Source organism: Homo sapiens, chromosome 9 (assembly GCF_000001405.40).
Source record: "Homo sapiens chromosome 9, GRCh38.p14 Primary Assembly".
Classification (NCBI taxonomy): domain Eukaryota; kingdom Metazoa; phylum Chordata; class Mammalia; order Primates; family Hominidae; genus Homo; species Homo sapiens.
Genome location: NC_000009.12, coordinates 115884980 through 115898282, shown reverse-complemented (window position 1 = coordinate 115898282; position 13303 = coordinate 115884980). Strand labels below are relative to the sequence as shown.

The 13303-nt window shown below is 33.6% G+C and overlaps 1 long non-coding RNA gene across 1 annotated transcript in view; it reads left to right on the top strand.

Annotated features, from left to right (window-relative positions):
- Positions 1-10121, top strand: part of LINC00474 (long intergenic non-protein coding RNA 474) — a 37046-nt gene extending 26925 nt beyond the window's left edge. The window contains exon 3 of the long non-coding RNA NR_024032.2: positions 9803-10121. This is a non-coding gene — a long non-coding RNA (long intergenic non-protein coding RNA 474). The remainder of the gene's footprint in view (positions 1-9802) is intronic.
- The last annotated feature ends 3182 nt before the right edge of the window (positions 10122-13303 follow it).

Below are 13303 nucleotides of genomic sequence, written 5' to 3'. Positions count from 1 at the left end.
TCAACTCCCACACTTTATATTCCCATTCCCTACTTTTTATTATTTAATAGCACTATGTAATCTCTTACATGTTAATATTTGTCACTGTTTTATATGTCCTTAAAAAATGTATATTCTTTGTTGGGTCTGTATGTATCTATTAGATAGTACCTACTAATCATATTTTTGTAATTTTTAAAAATACTTTTGCTTATTTTGAAACTCTACTTGATCTGTTAGAGGAACATGTAAAAATCTCACCCTGTAAGTTATTGCCACATTTATTTCTCTCTGATATTCTTATAGTGTTGTTTTATTAATTCTGTGTGTATTTCTTTATGTGCATATATGTTTATGAATATTGTTTCTTTTTTTGTTCTATTGTTCTATTATCTATGTTGTTATTTTACTATTTTTCTCACTTTACTTAAAATTATATTAATATGTTATAAAAATTGCTATCTCAGACACCTGTGGTACATATCTTCCTCATATATATGTTTCTATTATTTTTGTGTAAACCATACCTGTGTTTTTAATTTTTCTCTTAAAGATAACAAATTAGTGGATTTTGGCATTAAAAAGTACAATTTAAGAATCTCTGAGTCTTGAACAGTAAATTTAAACCATGAACATTTAATGTATCATGATTATATTTGTACTTATTTCTGTAACTTTATTTCATAGTTGTATTTGCCATGCTTATTTCCCTTTTCATCTTCCTTCCTGCCTCCAATTAATGCAGTAAATTTTATTGTGCAGTTTAGAAAAATTATATTGAATTGTTTCTGATGATAAGAGAAAATTTATTAAGAATTTTATATTGTTTTGTCATTCTCTCATCAATTTTTAAGACTTTCAATGTGTATGTCTTCCATGATCAACAAAAACACTTTAGCCCATTCTCTTCTTACTTGTCCTCTTCTCCTTCACCCTCTCATAGTATCATACTGAGTTTTAATTTGAATTCCTATACATTTCTCTTTTCTCACTTTTTTTTTTATCTTGTGAGAGATCATTGATTAAGACAGTAACTTTTCTTAAGGTAATTAATTAACTTTGTTAGCAAGATCTTCTATAATTCTCCTGAATTTAATAGTCTACTTGTAATATTTTTTATAAAAATGTCTGCAAAAATGGTATTTTTGTATTAAAACTTTTGGGACTTTTTAAGCCTAAGACTATGATTACTTGGCTTTTTCATTTAGAGTTGATTATACACATACTTCTTTTTTTAGCACTTTGGAAATATTTCTCCACTATCCTCTTGCATCTAGTGCTTCATACACAATGTTGGTTTCTACCTGATTTCCTCTTCCTCTATAGATCAGGTCTTTTTTTCTCTAGAACTGGATAAAATTTTCTCCTTTACTGAAGTTTTTAATTTTACTGTACAGTCTTTTTTTGTTTACTTCTTTGATTCTTGTTTGTTTTGATTTCTTTATTCACATGATTTAGCACTCTGAGACCTTTCTATCTGCAATTTTGCTTCTTTTTATTTTAGGACAGTCTCAATTGTTATTTCTTCAAGTATGCTTTTTATGCATCCCCCACTAACTTCTTTCCAATATTCCTATTATATAAAAATTGGCAACTCTGTTTTACTCCTTTGCATTCCTTAAGTTAAAAGAACATTAATCAATATGTTTCTTTCCAATATCTTCCATATACATTAGTCTGAATTTCCACTTGATTCTTTAACTCTTCATTGATTCCATGCTTTCATTTATTTGCCATAAGAACTTTATTTTAGCTGTTTTATTTTGTTAACCTGTTATCTCCATGATTTTTTTCATATTTCGTTTTCTTGCCTTATATTTCTAACAGACTATCTTATTACACTGAAGATGACTTTTTATGTTTACATCTATTTTCCTAAGCACATCTACGCTTCATAAAGGCAAGGACCATGTCTTACTTATCAACTTTTATATATCAGTTCTTGAAAAATATGACATTCTTAAAAACATTTGCCCAATTACTAAATGTGCTAAATTAGTGAAAGAAAAGATACATTTTATTCATTGTATATTTTTTGAAATGGTTTACTGAATGCTTAGCATTTTTTAAAGCACACTTATTGATTAGCAGAAGACTTTTTTTGAGGCTATTCTGTTAAAACTGTGGCTCTTCTGATATGTTAGCTTTGGACTTCCAGCCATTAGAACTATAAAAGAATACATTTCTGTTGTTTTAAAATACCAAGTTTGTGTTACTTTGTTACTACAGCCACAGGACTCTAATATACACAGTGAAAAGTTTTGGGATCCCTTTATACAATGATCTCCCTTCCACATTTTAGAGATTTATAATATACATTAATATATTAAAAGATCTATTAAGTCCGTGAATTTATTTAGGTCAATATTTTCAAAACTTATTTGAGACTGGGATTCATTCCTTCTCTACTCTCTTCATAACACTGATAGCCTGTGTGACTATGATTTACAAAGTACACTTCGAAGAATATTGAATTAAATATTCCTAATCCTAAAATTAAGTCAAAAATAGTTGCAAAATCATAGCATACTTTCTTTCATTCTTAAAACAATTGACGCACTGTTATTTACGCTTTAAGTAGCAATCCTGTGGAATTCATATTTTCTTTTTTCTCCCTTTCTCCCTTTCTTTCTCTCTTTCTCTTTCTCTCTCTCTCTCTCTTTCTTTTTTTTTTTTTTTTCACTCTTGTTGCCCAGGCTGGAGTGCAATTGCATGATCTAGGCTCTCTGCAACCTCTGTCTCCTGAATTCAAGCGATTCTCCTGTTTCAGCCTCCCAAGTAGCTGGGATTACAAGCGCCGGCCACTATGCCAGGCTAATTTTTGTATTTTTAGTAGAGACGGGGTTTCACCATGTTGGCCAGGCTAGGCTCAAACTCCTGACCTCAGGTGACCTCCCACCTTGGCCTCCCAAAGTGCTGGGATTATGCACATGAGCCACCATACCCAGCCCAGAATTCACACTTTCAACAGCAAAATGGACTTTGCAAGATATTATACATAGATAGGGGCCAAAGATAGTAATAATCTGAATTTTTTGCATTAATTCCATTATTGCCATTTTATATTTCACAGACATTAATAACATTTTGTATAGCAGAAAAACCAGCATGTTTTTATGTACTAGTCCAGCAAATAAATACTGTCATTTACATAATGATATCATACTATTACTTCAATAAACAGATGACTGAAAATTGTACTCTATTTCCATATCTAGAATACATTAGGAAAGGGCAAGTATTTAAGTAAGGATAAGAAATTCCAATTCCTTATCCTATTGGACTTAGTATATTGCACTTTGGAAAGAAGGCATATTTTAAAGATAGAAATGTAAAGGATGAAATGCAGCAGAGTACTGTCAAAGTCTCTCTTTTATTAATTTATTCAACATTTTTTACAAATATTTGTTGAGGTGCCCTTCCATATACAAAACATTGTGATGGGTGCTCTTTTCATAAATGATAGTAGAAATTAATTTAAGGAAACATTGTCTAGTTAAAACCAAACATTGATGCTTCAGAAAACTGAGGTTCAGGGATACGAAAAAAACTTGCCAAGTCACACAAAGAGTTAATAGAACAACAAACTTGAACAGTAATAATATTAATTTGGATACTTTAATGACAATGCAGCTATAATCAATTTATGTAAAAAAATGAAATCAGATCTCAATACTTTGCTTTTACTCTTCCCCAATAAATGTATTGACCCTTTTATTATTGCCCAGTAAACGGTTTATTTTGGTGAACAGTCCATGTATACATGAAAATAATGTGTTTCCCGCTGAGTGGAGTGTTCCATAAATTCCAATTAGAACAAGTTCATATGAGAGTTGTTTGTCTCATCTACATTCTCACTGATTTTCTATGCATTATATTAATTATTAAAAGCAGAATTTTAAAATTTTCAACAAATCTGTATATTTCTCCATTTATTTCTATTAGTTCTTATTCATTTTGAAACTCTTATTATGTTCAAGCACATTTAGGATTATTCAGTCTTCCCAGTGAATTGACTTTACCATCTTTATTATTAAAAAATGTCTCTATTTTTCTCCGGAAATATTCATTTTTATGATGTTTATTTTGACTGATATTAACCTAGCACTCCTAGCATTCCAGTTTTCTTATAATCAATGACTGCTTTATAAATATTTTTTATTCTTATACTTGTAGCCTGTATGTGTCTTTTAACTTAAAACACATTGCCTGCAATAATTGGTTTACATACTTTTTACTTCTTCATATGTTATAAATCCAACCATAGATTGTTATTGCTTTTTGCACTGAACAGCCAATTATCTTTACAGGAATTATGGAATGAGAAAACACATATTTTAAAGTTTCATTTCTAGTGTGGTTCATTTGTATAGATTGTTTCCCACCTAGCATCACTTTCCTTTAGCCTGAAAAACTTCCTTTAACTTCCTTCTTATATATTATTTTAACATGTTTGCTGGTGACAAATTGTTTTAGTGTTTGACTTTTTCATTCATAAGGAATATTTTTTATTTAAAATATTTTATTGTTGGATGCAGAATTCCATGTTACTTTAGAATTTTGAAGATGTTGTTCTTTTATCTTCCAGATAATGTTTGGCCTGTTTCTAATGAAAAGTTACTGATAATTGTTATCACTATTCCTGATGACTGCTTTTAAGATTTTCTCTTTGTCTTGAGTTTTCATCAGTGTGAACACGACGTGCTTAAATGTAGTTTTCTTTGTGTTAGTCTTTCTTAATTTTATTGAGATTCTTGAATACATGGGTTTATTCATTTTTTTATTAAACTAGGGAATTTTTAGCCAGTATTTAAAGAAATATATTCTCTTCTTGATCTCTTTCTTCCCTCTTTCTAAAACTCCAATTACACATATATTAGACTGCTTGCTATTATCCCTCAGATCATTGAAGGTATATCCATAACTTAAAGTCATTTTAATCTCTGCTTTTTAATTAGAATGATTATCGATATAACTTCTATGGCTATGCATTCAAGGCTGCTTATCATGTTTTCTGCAGCATCCAGTCTGCTGTTAAATACATTCAGTTAATAGCCTTTATTTCAGATATTGGACTTATTACTCTATAATTTATTTTGTTTTTTTAAATATGATTTTTACTTCTACATTGAGATCCCTATCTGTTTTCTAGTTATGTTCACATTTTCCTTTAAGTCCTTGTATATATTTATAGTAACTGATTTAAAGTCCTTGTGTGGTAATTCCATTAGTTGTATTATTTGTGGGCATTTTTTGTTGACTAATGTTTCTATTGATTGTCAGTCAAAATTTTCTGCTTCTTTCCCAGTCTAGTAATTTTGAATTATGTACATGAACATGTGGATACTTCATTACTGAGTGTCTGGATTTTATTGCCTTTACTTAAATAGTTGATGTTTGTTTTGCCAGGCAGTTAATTTCTTCTGAGACTTTTATGTAAGTCTCTTTCTTCATCTGAGGCTTTTTTGTAAGTGTTCTTAGGTTCATGTGGATTAGCCTATACTCTGTGAATTGATTAGCCCTATTCCTAAGGTGAAAGCTGTTTAGAATTTCATCTAAGATGGATAATACCTCTCCATTCTGGCTTGCTTTGTACAAACTTAAGAATCTCATAGCTCATAGATGTTTAGCTAATATCCCCCTAGTAGTTGTCTTCTTATTGCTTTATTTTATTTCTTGCCAAAACTTGCAGGCTATATAGTAGGTTCAACTAAGTATTCAGCCAAATACTCAAAGGGAGATCCAAATTTCTGTTATGGACATTTCCACATTTCCATACAACTCTTTCTCTAGAGCTTGGACCAGCAGTTTGGAACTATAGGTTCTATTCCTTCAGCTCCATATTGTAATACTTCCTGCCCTGTGGGCCAAAATGTATTCCCTGGTTGTAAGCCTGTTGATTTGAGGATTCACTACATTTGTTTCCCATTTCTTAGTGATCACCATTATGCTTTACCTGTTGCTCAATATCTGAAAACAGTTGTTTACTATACATGTGATGTTTCAGTTTTTTAATGGCAGGAGACCTAGTTAAGATAAGTGTCCTCGTTTTTTTTTTGTTTTTTTTTTCTTGTAATTAGATACTCCATCTGCTTAATAGTGCTGTCTTTGGATTAGTAGAGAACCCAGGAATGTTTCCTAAGTTCATTGTCAACCATTTAGCCATTCCTCTGCAAACATATATCAATGTGTCATTGTGGTCTGGCACACGTGTTTTAGATTAAAATGTGCTAGATCATACTAAGTGATTGTTACTAGTTGAATAAATAAATTATATGGTCTATGTTGCTAAACATACTATTACAACAGTATCCTCCATTATCTTATACATGTAGATTTTTACATAGCAAAAAAAATCCTACACACAGTTTGAGATCAGTGTGTATATTGATCTGATGGCTGTGAAGATGACTAAAGATGCAGTCACTGTACTTAAAGGATTTAGATTAAAATTAAAAATATAAGATCCAAATGCATGGAAATTTGAAGTACTAAGACATCACTTTCACTTTGAATTTGAATTTGTTAAGTCACCTAAGTACATGCCATTGTATATGGTATTATACTATTATTATTTTGAATGTGGTTGACTGATGAATTTGGAAGAAGCTGGACATGGCTGCCAAATCGTTCTGAAGGAAGAAGCACCTTGCACTTTGTATACTAACAAAATGTCATTAGTTATAGATTTTTGAGCATATCATTGTGTTTCACCTGTCTATCACTTTCAATATTCTGTTCTCACTGACTAGAATATGACCTTCTGTAGTCTTTTTTTAACAAACTCCTACTCACCCTTATAAACAATGTTTCTTTTATTATCTTCTCCAAAAAAATAACTTTGATGTTATAAAAATAAATGGATTCTTCTGTGTATGTATATCTGAACTTTGCACAAGGTTGAATAGAGCACTTATCAACATATATTTGAAATATTTTTGTAAATTAATACTTTTACTGAAGTATTGAGGTCAAGGATTATTTATTTTTTGCTACCACCACAACTTTTGCTAATACCTAGTGTTAGTCATTGCATGGAAAATGTAAATGAAAAAGAATAGAATAGATTGGAAATGGATAAACTAGAAGAGAATAGGATAGAATAGAATCAGGGAGTCTAGGATAGAATAGAATATAATGTAATACAATAGAATAACTTAAAAAATTGGTTAGACACTCTGGAGGAATTTTAACTTTTGAAAATTACCAAAATATCAAGTATTCAAATAATAATTGCTATCTGGTCATCACTTGTGAAGATCTCCACTGCGTGACTGATGCAGTAGCAATGATTCTACTCTTTGAAAGTGATTGAAGCCTATTAAAACCAAGAAAAGTGCTAATAAAGTAAAAAAATAAATAAATAAACTTTTAAAAGCTTCCTCTTGCCTGTGCCTGTCAGAGCCCAGTGTGTAAAGCTCAACCCAGTATTTCCAGGTGACTAAAGGCAGGTTCATCTCTTTCAAGGACTTCCTAAAAATTTTCGAGTGAGAGTTTTTTGCCATAGAATGGATCCTTAGAAACCCAGTGGCAGGTTAGCATAGGGAAGAAGGTAGAAATTTCAGAATCACTTCAAATACCAGCCAATAGTGAGATGTAATGGAGTCTGTGAGGACTCTAATACTTTAGTTTTATTGGCTGGTGTATCTGTACTCCATTCATTTCCTTATTTACTTATTCATTAGTTTGCTTCTTTATTTAAAGTAAATATAAACAAATATTTACTGGTTGCCTACTATTGGCCATATAAACCTCATTTCTTACCCTCTGTTTAGGCATAGGCAATAAGAATTAAGAAATAAAGAAGACAAAAGATAGCTATAATCATGGAGCTAAAAATAAGGACATGGACAATGCTGAGAACAGGCTTTATCATAGAGTACAATAGGTGCTATAATGGATAAATGCAGAGGGTACTTTGAAATCATATAGCAGGGACCCCAAAGTTAATATAGACAGTTAGGGCAGACTTGCTTCCTAGAGAAAGTGACATCTACATTGAGATCTGAATGTTGAGTGGGAAATAATGAGGGGAGGAGAAATAAAAGAGAGTATAGCTTCTTAGAAGGGGTAAAAAATGAAGCACAGTGTTCCTAGAGGGTAGACTGGGGGTAGGTTGGTGAAGAATGAGTCCAGATTGGTGAACAGGTACAGACACAAAAAGCTTTGTGAGTTGGATTAAAGTGTTTAGAAAGTATCCTTTTTCATTTTTGTTGTAAGAAGAGTGACTATGCATTACTGGAATAATTGTAATCGATCTATACCGTATGCCTGTACATCTATATGTATATAATCTATTTGTATGTCATATGTATTATGACATCATAATACACACAATATGTATATATATACATGAAATGAGTGTGAATGCATGCAGACACATTATGCCAGGTGTACACAGTTACGGTTTGACTCTTAATTCCTATCCATGGGGTGTACTCATCAGCACATCCTTGTTGATGTAAATTCTCCTGCAGTGGGTTACCTGACTCTTTCCTAAGCTCTTCAGACCGCCCTACCTCTACTTGTCAATTAAAAATATCAATCTAAGATGGAAATCTGGTCATGCTGTCTCGTTTGCTTAAAACACCCCATTGCCCTTAATAAATTGCATTAAAATAAAATTTAAGCTCTTTAGAAGTGTTTACCAAGACCCTTCATAATCTGAGATTCCCAAATTTGCCAACCAATCCTCAGCCGTCATTGTTCTCCCACACAAATCCAATATTCCAATAAAAATAAATTTCCTCCAGTTGCTTGATGTGACACAAGCGTTTCTAACTTTGTATATGCTCTTCCTCAGTCTCTACCATTCTTTTTCCTTCTTTACCTGTCTAATTTCTATTTTTCCTTGAAAACCCAGTGCAGGCATCACTTTCTCCTTCTTCCTAGGATGCTATGGGTGTTTCCCCTTCTCTGATTACCAAAAGCACCAGTTGTACACATAGTCCCAGCTCCATTACTTGATGACCATAACTTTGGTTTGAAACTTAACCTCCACAATCCTATTTCCCTTTACCTCTTTAAGATAATGACACATCTACCTCTTGGGGTCACTATAAGAATAATAGATTCCATTCAATATATGATGACTGGTGTTATTATTTTAAATTATTGTAGTCATTGTTACATGCATCATTATTCTATTAACTGATCGGTTTTTCTAATCAGCCTGAAGGGCAGGTTCATGTGTTTGTTTTGTTATTTCTTTAGTGTCTCAAGGACCAGAAATAGGATGGGAGTTCAGTGAATCTCTACTGTGTAATGGAAGAGAAAAGGTCTCTATAGGAGCCAAATGTCCAGCTTCACAATTGGCCTGTTGTGGGATATTAGGCAGATCATTTCCCTCCCTGGGCCTCTGTAATTTTATCTGAGACACAGAATGAAGGAATTAGAAGGTGACTAAGGTCTCTTCTAATTACATAATGTTATTGAACTTATCAAACTATAGGATGAGATGCTTTGATGATTTTTATGTTATTCCTCAAAGAGTCCACTCTAACTCCAGGGTCTGGTGCAACCCAGGTCCAGGCTCTCAGAAGTTCACTGCCAAATCTGAAAACTGGTTTGTACTGGGTGGGATGAATATTACTTACACTGATACCTCTAATAATTTTGGTCCTGACTGCTTACCAGTGCAGCAATTGGACACTCATTGTTCCTGCTGTTTCAGCAAAGACGTGAGAGGCACATTTATGATTTAGTGTGTCAGAATCACAGATAGAAAAGCTGTCATCTGTAATTTTCGCATGTCAAGTGACTACAAGTTGAGCTGACAGAATGAATCAGGCCTTCTTTCTCTTATTTTGTGTACCATCTCCAGCAACCTGATTTTTGAAAAGAAAAAAGGAACTTCCTCGAACTAAAGCAGTTAAGACCTCGACATTTGCTCATAGAAAAAGTCGCTGAGTCGTTTCTAGTTGTGAAGGTGCAAAAGATGCAGTTATCCCTTATGGAAAATTCCAAGAACTTGTGCCTAATTTGAGTCATGCAAACCTGAGTTCTGCATGACTGAGCTCTGTCACTCAATGGTTGGGAAATTTGTGATCATCTCTACGCCTTGCTTTCTGCATCTGTAAAGTGGAAATGATAATATCTACCTTGTGTGATTCCTGGAAGAATTAAATACATTATATTCAAAATCTTTTGGTCAATTGTAAATTAACAGCAAGCATAAGTTATTGTAAACTGAGAGAATCAAACTTTGATTAACATATTTAGCATCTTTAAAATCCACATAATTCCAGTTTTTACTCATGGGAGAGGATTATATTGAAAATAATGTAAGTTTTGTTTAAACATTTTGTATCTTATATGGTTTGGGGTACATTTTTTGTGAATGAAAATTTTCACTGTCCTGGACTGAAGAGAAGCAGAGGAAATTGAGTTGCTTCTAATTTTGCCCCCTATGTTTTCTAGAACACAGGAAGGAGATTTGTGCTGATTAAACACACATACATACATATATGCACACACACAAAAAATTCCATTCTTCAACTTTATATAATTGTCCTATTTCTCCCAAACACAAAGTGAAGAAATTCAAGGAAAGCTAATGCACCTTGGTTGTAAAATAGGCACATCAACCCATATGGCTGTTGTGAGGCATAACTGAACTAGAATTACGTGTCAGGGGCTTTGCAGATGGTTACACATTATACACAAAGGTGAATGTTTTGGAGGCAGCCATAAAGTGTAAAAATTTAACCAAGGGCTTTGAGGTCAAAAGCCCTGAGATCAAATTCAGCCTCTGCCCCTTTTCCTGGTTTTTCCTGCATGGTATATGACCTATCTCTTGCAATCTGAAAGTTGCGGTCTCCTTAGGTATAAATGGTGGTATTCTCACCTGCCTCACAGGACAATGATGAGGAGGAAGTAAAATGATGGATATGACTTTGCTCTGTAACCAGTAGCATGGTCTACAAATGTGTGGCCAAGAAGTGGGTTCTACACTAATTACAGGGAAAACAAAGGGATCTCTGAATTAGCTGGGGAATTATTCCTCCCTCCACCTATGCCTTGAACAGCCAAGAGCAGTGCTCAGTCAGCAAAGACACAAAGGTTGAGGCCATTAAGCTGCATTCACACCCAGAGCCTGATGATCTCACAAGTGCAATCAGCAACAAAAAAAAGAGACAAACATTTACTGCAAAGACGAGTTTCTTTGCAAAGGAAATCTAGCACTTTGGTCCATTCTGGGTTGGGTGCAAACACCATTCTCTCGCTGAGTCTCAGCTGTGTCAATATTCAAAAAAGAAAGGGATTAATGAAACAAAATGTCTACTCTGAGCACTTGGCTATCCCTGAAATAAAAGAAGAAAGCGGGGGAAACAAAAGAAAGAATATAACCAGCCTTGCTCTCCACTGGGAATTTATTTCCCTTTAATATTCATGTGGGTAACATTCATTGCCAATAAATGTAGACATGCATTTTAATGGCATACTGTATTAGGAATAAAATGAGAACACCCAGAAACTTGACAACACAAATGAGTACTAAGATCCTTTTGTCTGCTATCTGTGCTAATTTCTGTCCCATCTGTGGAAAAACACCTTAAAACTTTTGCCTTTTGTTTCTGTTTCTGTGTTTACCTGCCACTTGATAGCTTTGTTTTGTAGAAGAGCTCCTCAAAAACACAGGCCATGTCTTCTACATCTCCTTGTTGTTTTTGCTTAGCACAGAGATGGACACAAATAAATTGCATGGGGGAATTACATGGGGATTTTGCAGTTCTGGCCACCACTGTTCAAAAAGGACATTGGACAACTGGAGCAGATGGAAAGGGGCCTAGAAACAATGTTATATGAGCAACTAGTGAAAGAACAAAAAGAGCTCTAAGCTAGAATACTGGAACACTCAGAGCTGAAGTGAGGATGGCAGGACAGCATGAGAACTGTCAGTTAAATTTCCTTGTGCCTTGGGAGACTAAATCCAGAGCTCAGTTACACGAACGAAGGATTTTGCTAAAACTAAACCAAAAGAAGACACACAAATAGCCAACAAGTACATAAAAAATGTGCAACATCACTGATCATCAGAGAAATGCAATCAAAACCACAATGAGTTACCATCTCACCCCAGTTAGAATGGCTGTTATAAAAAAAGACAAAATAAAATGCTAGCATAGATGCAGAGAAAGGGGGACTCTTATACATTATAGATGGAAATCTAAATTAGTACAGCCATTATAAAAAACCATATGGAGGTTCCTCAAAAAATTAAAAATAGAACTACTATATGACCCAGCAATTTCACTACTGGTTATTTATACAAAGTAAAGAAAACCAGTATATCGAAGTGATATCTGTACTCCCATTTTCACTGCAGCACCGTTCACAGTAGCAAAGATAAGGAAACAACCTAAGTGTCCATCAGCAGATGAATGAATAAAGAAAATGTGTTAAATACACACAATGAAATATGACTCAGCCATAAAAAGAATGAAATCACATCATTTGCAGCGACATGGATGAAACGGGAGGACATTATGTTAAGTGAAATAAGCCAAGCAGAGAAAGACAAATATGGCATGTTCTTATTAACATGTGGGAGCCAAAGAAATTGATCTTATGGAGGTAGATAGTAGAATGATAGGTACCAGAGACTGGGAAGAGTAGAGTAAGATGCAGAGATGTTGGTCAGTGGGTACAGACATACAGGCAGATAGAAGAAATACATTCCAGGGTTTGACAGCACAGTTGGGTGACTATAGTTAACAACAATATATTATATATTTCAAATGGGTAGAAAAGAAGATTTAAAATGTTCCCAGAACAAATGAATAATAAATGGTAGAGGTGATGGATATCCTAAATACCCTGCTTCAGTGATTACACATTGTGTGAATATATCACAAGCACTCCATAAATAGGTACGATTAGTATGTATCACTTTAAAAAATACCCACACCTATAATGATTTAATTTTATTCCCCTCCCCAACATTGGTGATTTTACTTGCTGTGGAGATTTTTACCCGTGGGAATTTTCAAATTTGGGATCAGAAAATCTATCTACTCTTGAATATCACTCTAAGAAATTCAGTGTCCCAAGTGAGGTCACTTGGCTTATTTGAGCATTAAAATACAAAACAAAACTAAGTTTCATCTGGGCACATGATTTGTTTTTTTTTTTTTTTTAACTTTTCCTACTGAGAATCATTGACTCTTCCTCTGATGGGAGAGCATTTTTCTAAAACAGTATGATGGCATTTCTTTTTCCCTGAAGTCCCAACCTCAGAGCTTTCCAAAGAATAAACATTCCACATTCAGTCATTAGGGACTCCTCATTGCACAGCCAACGTTTTGCTATAAAGGAATCTGAA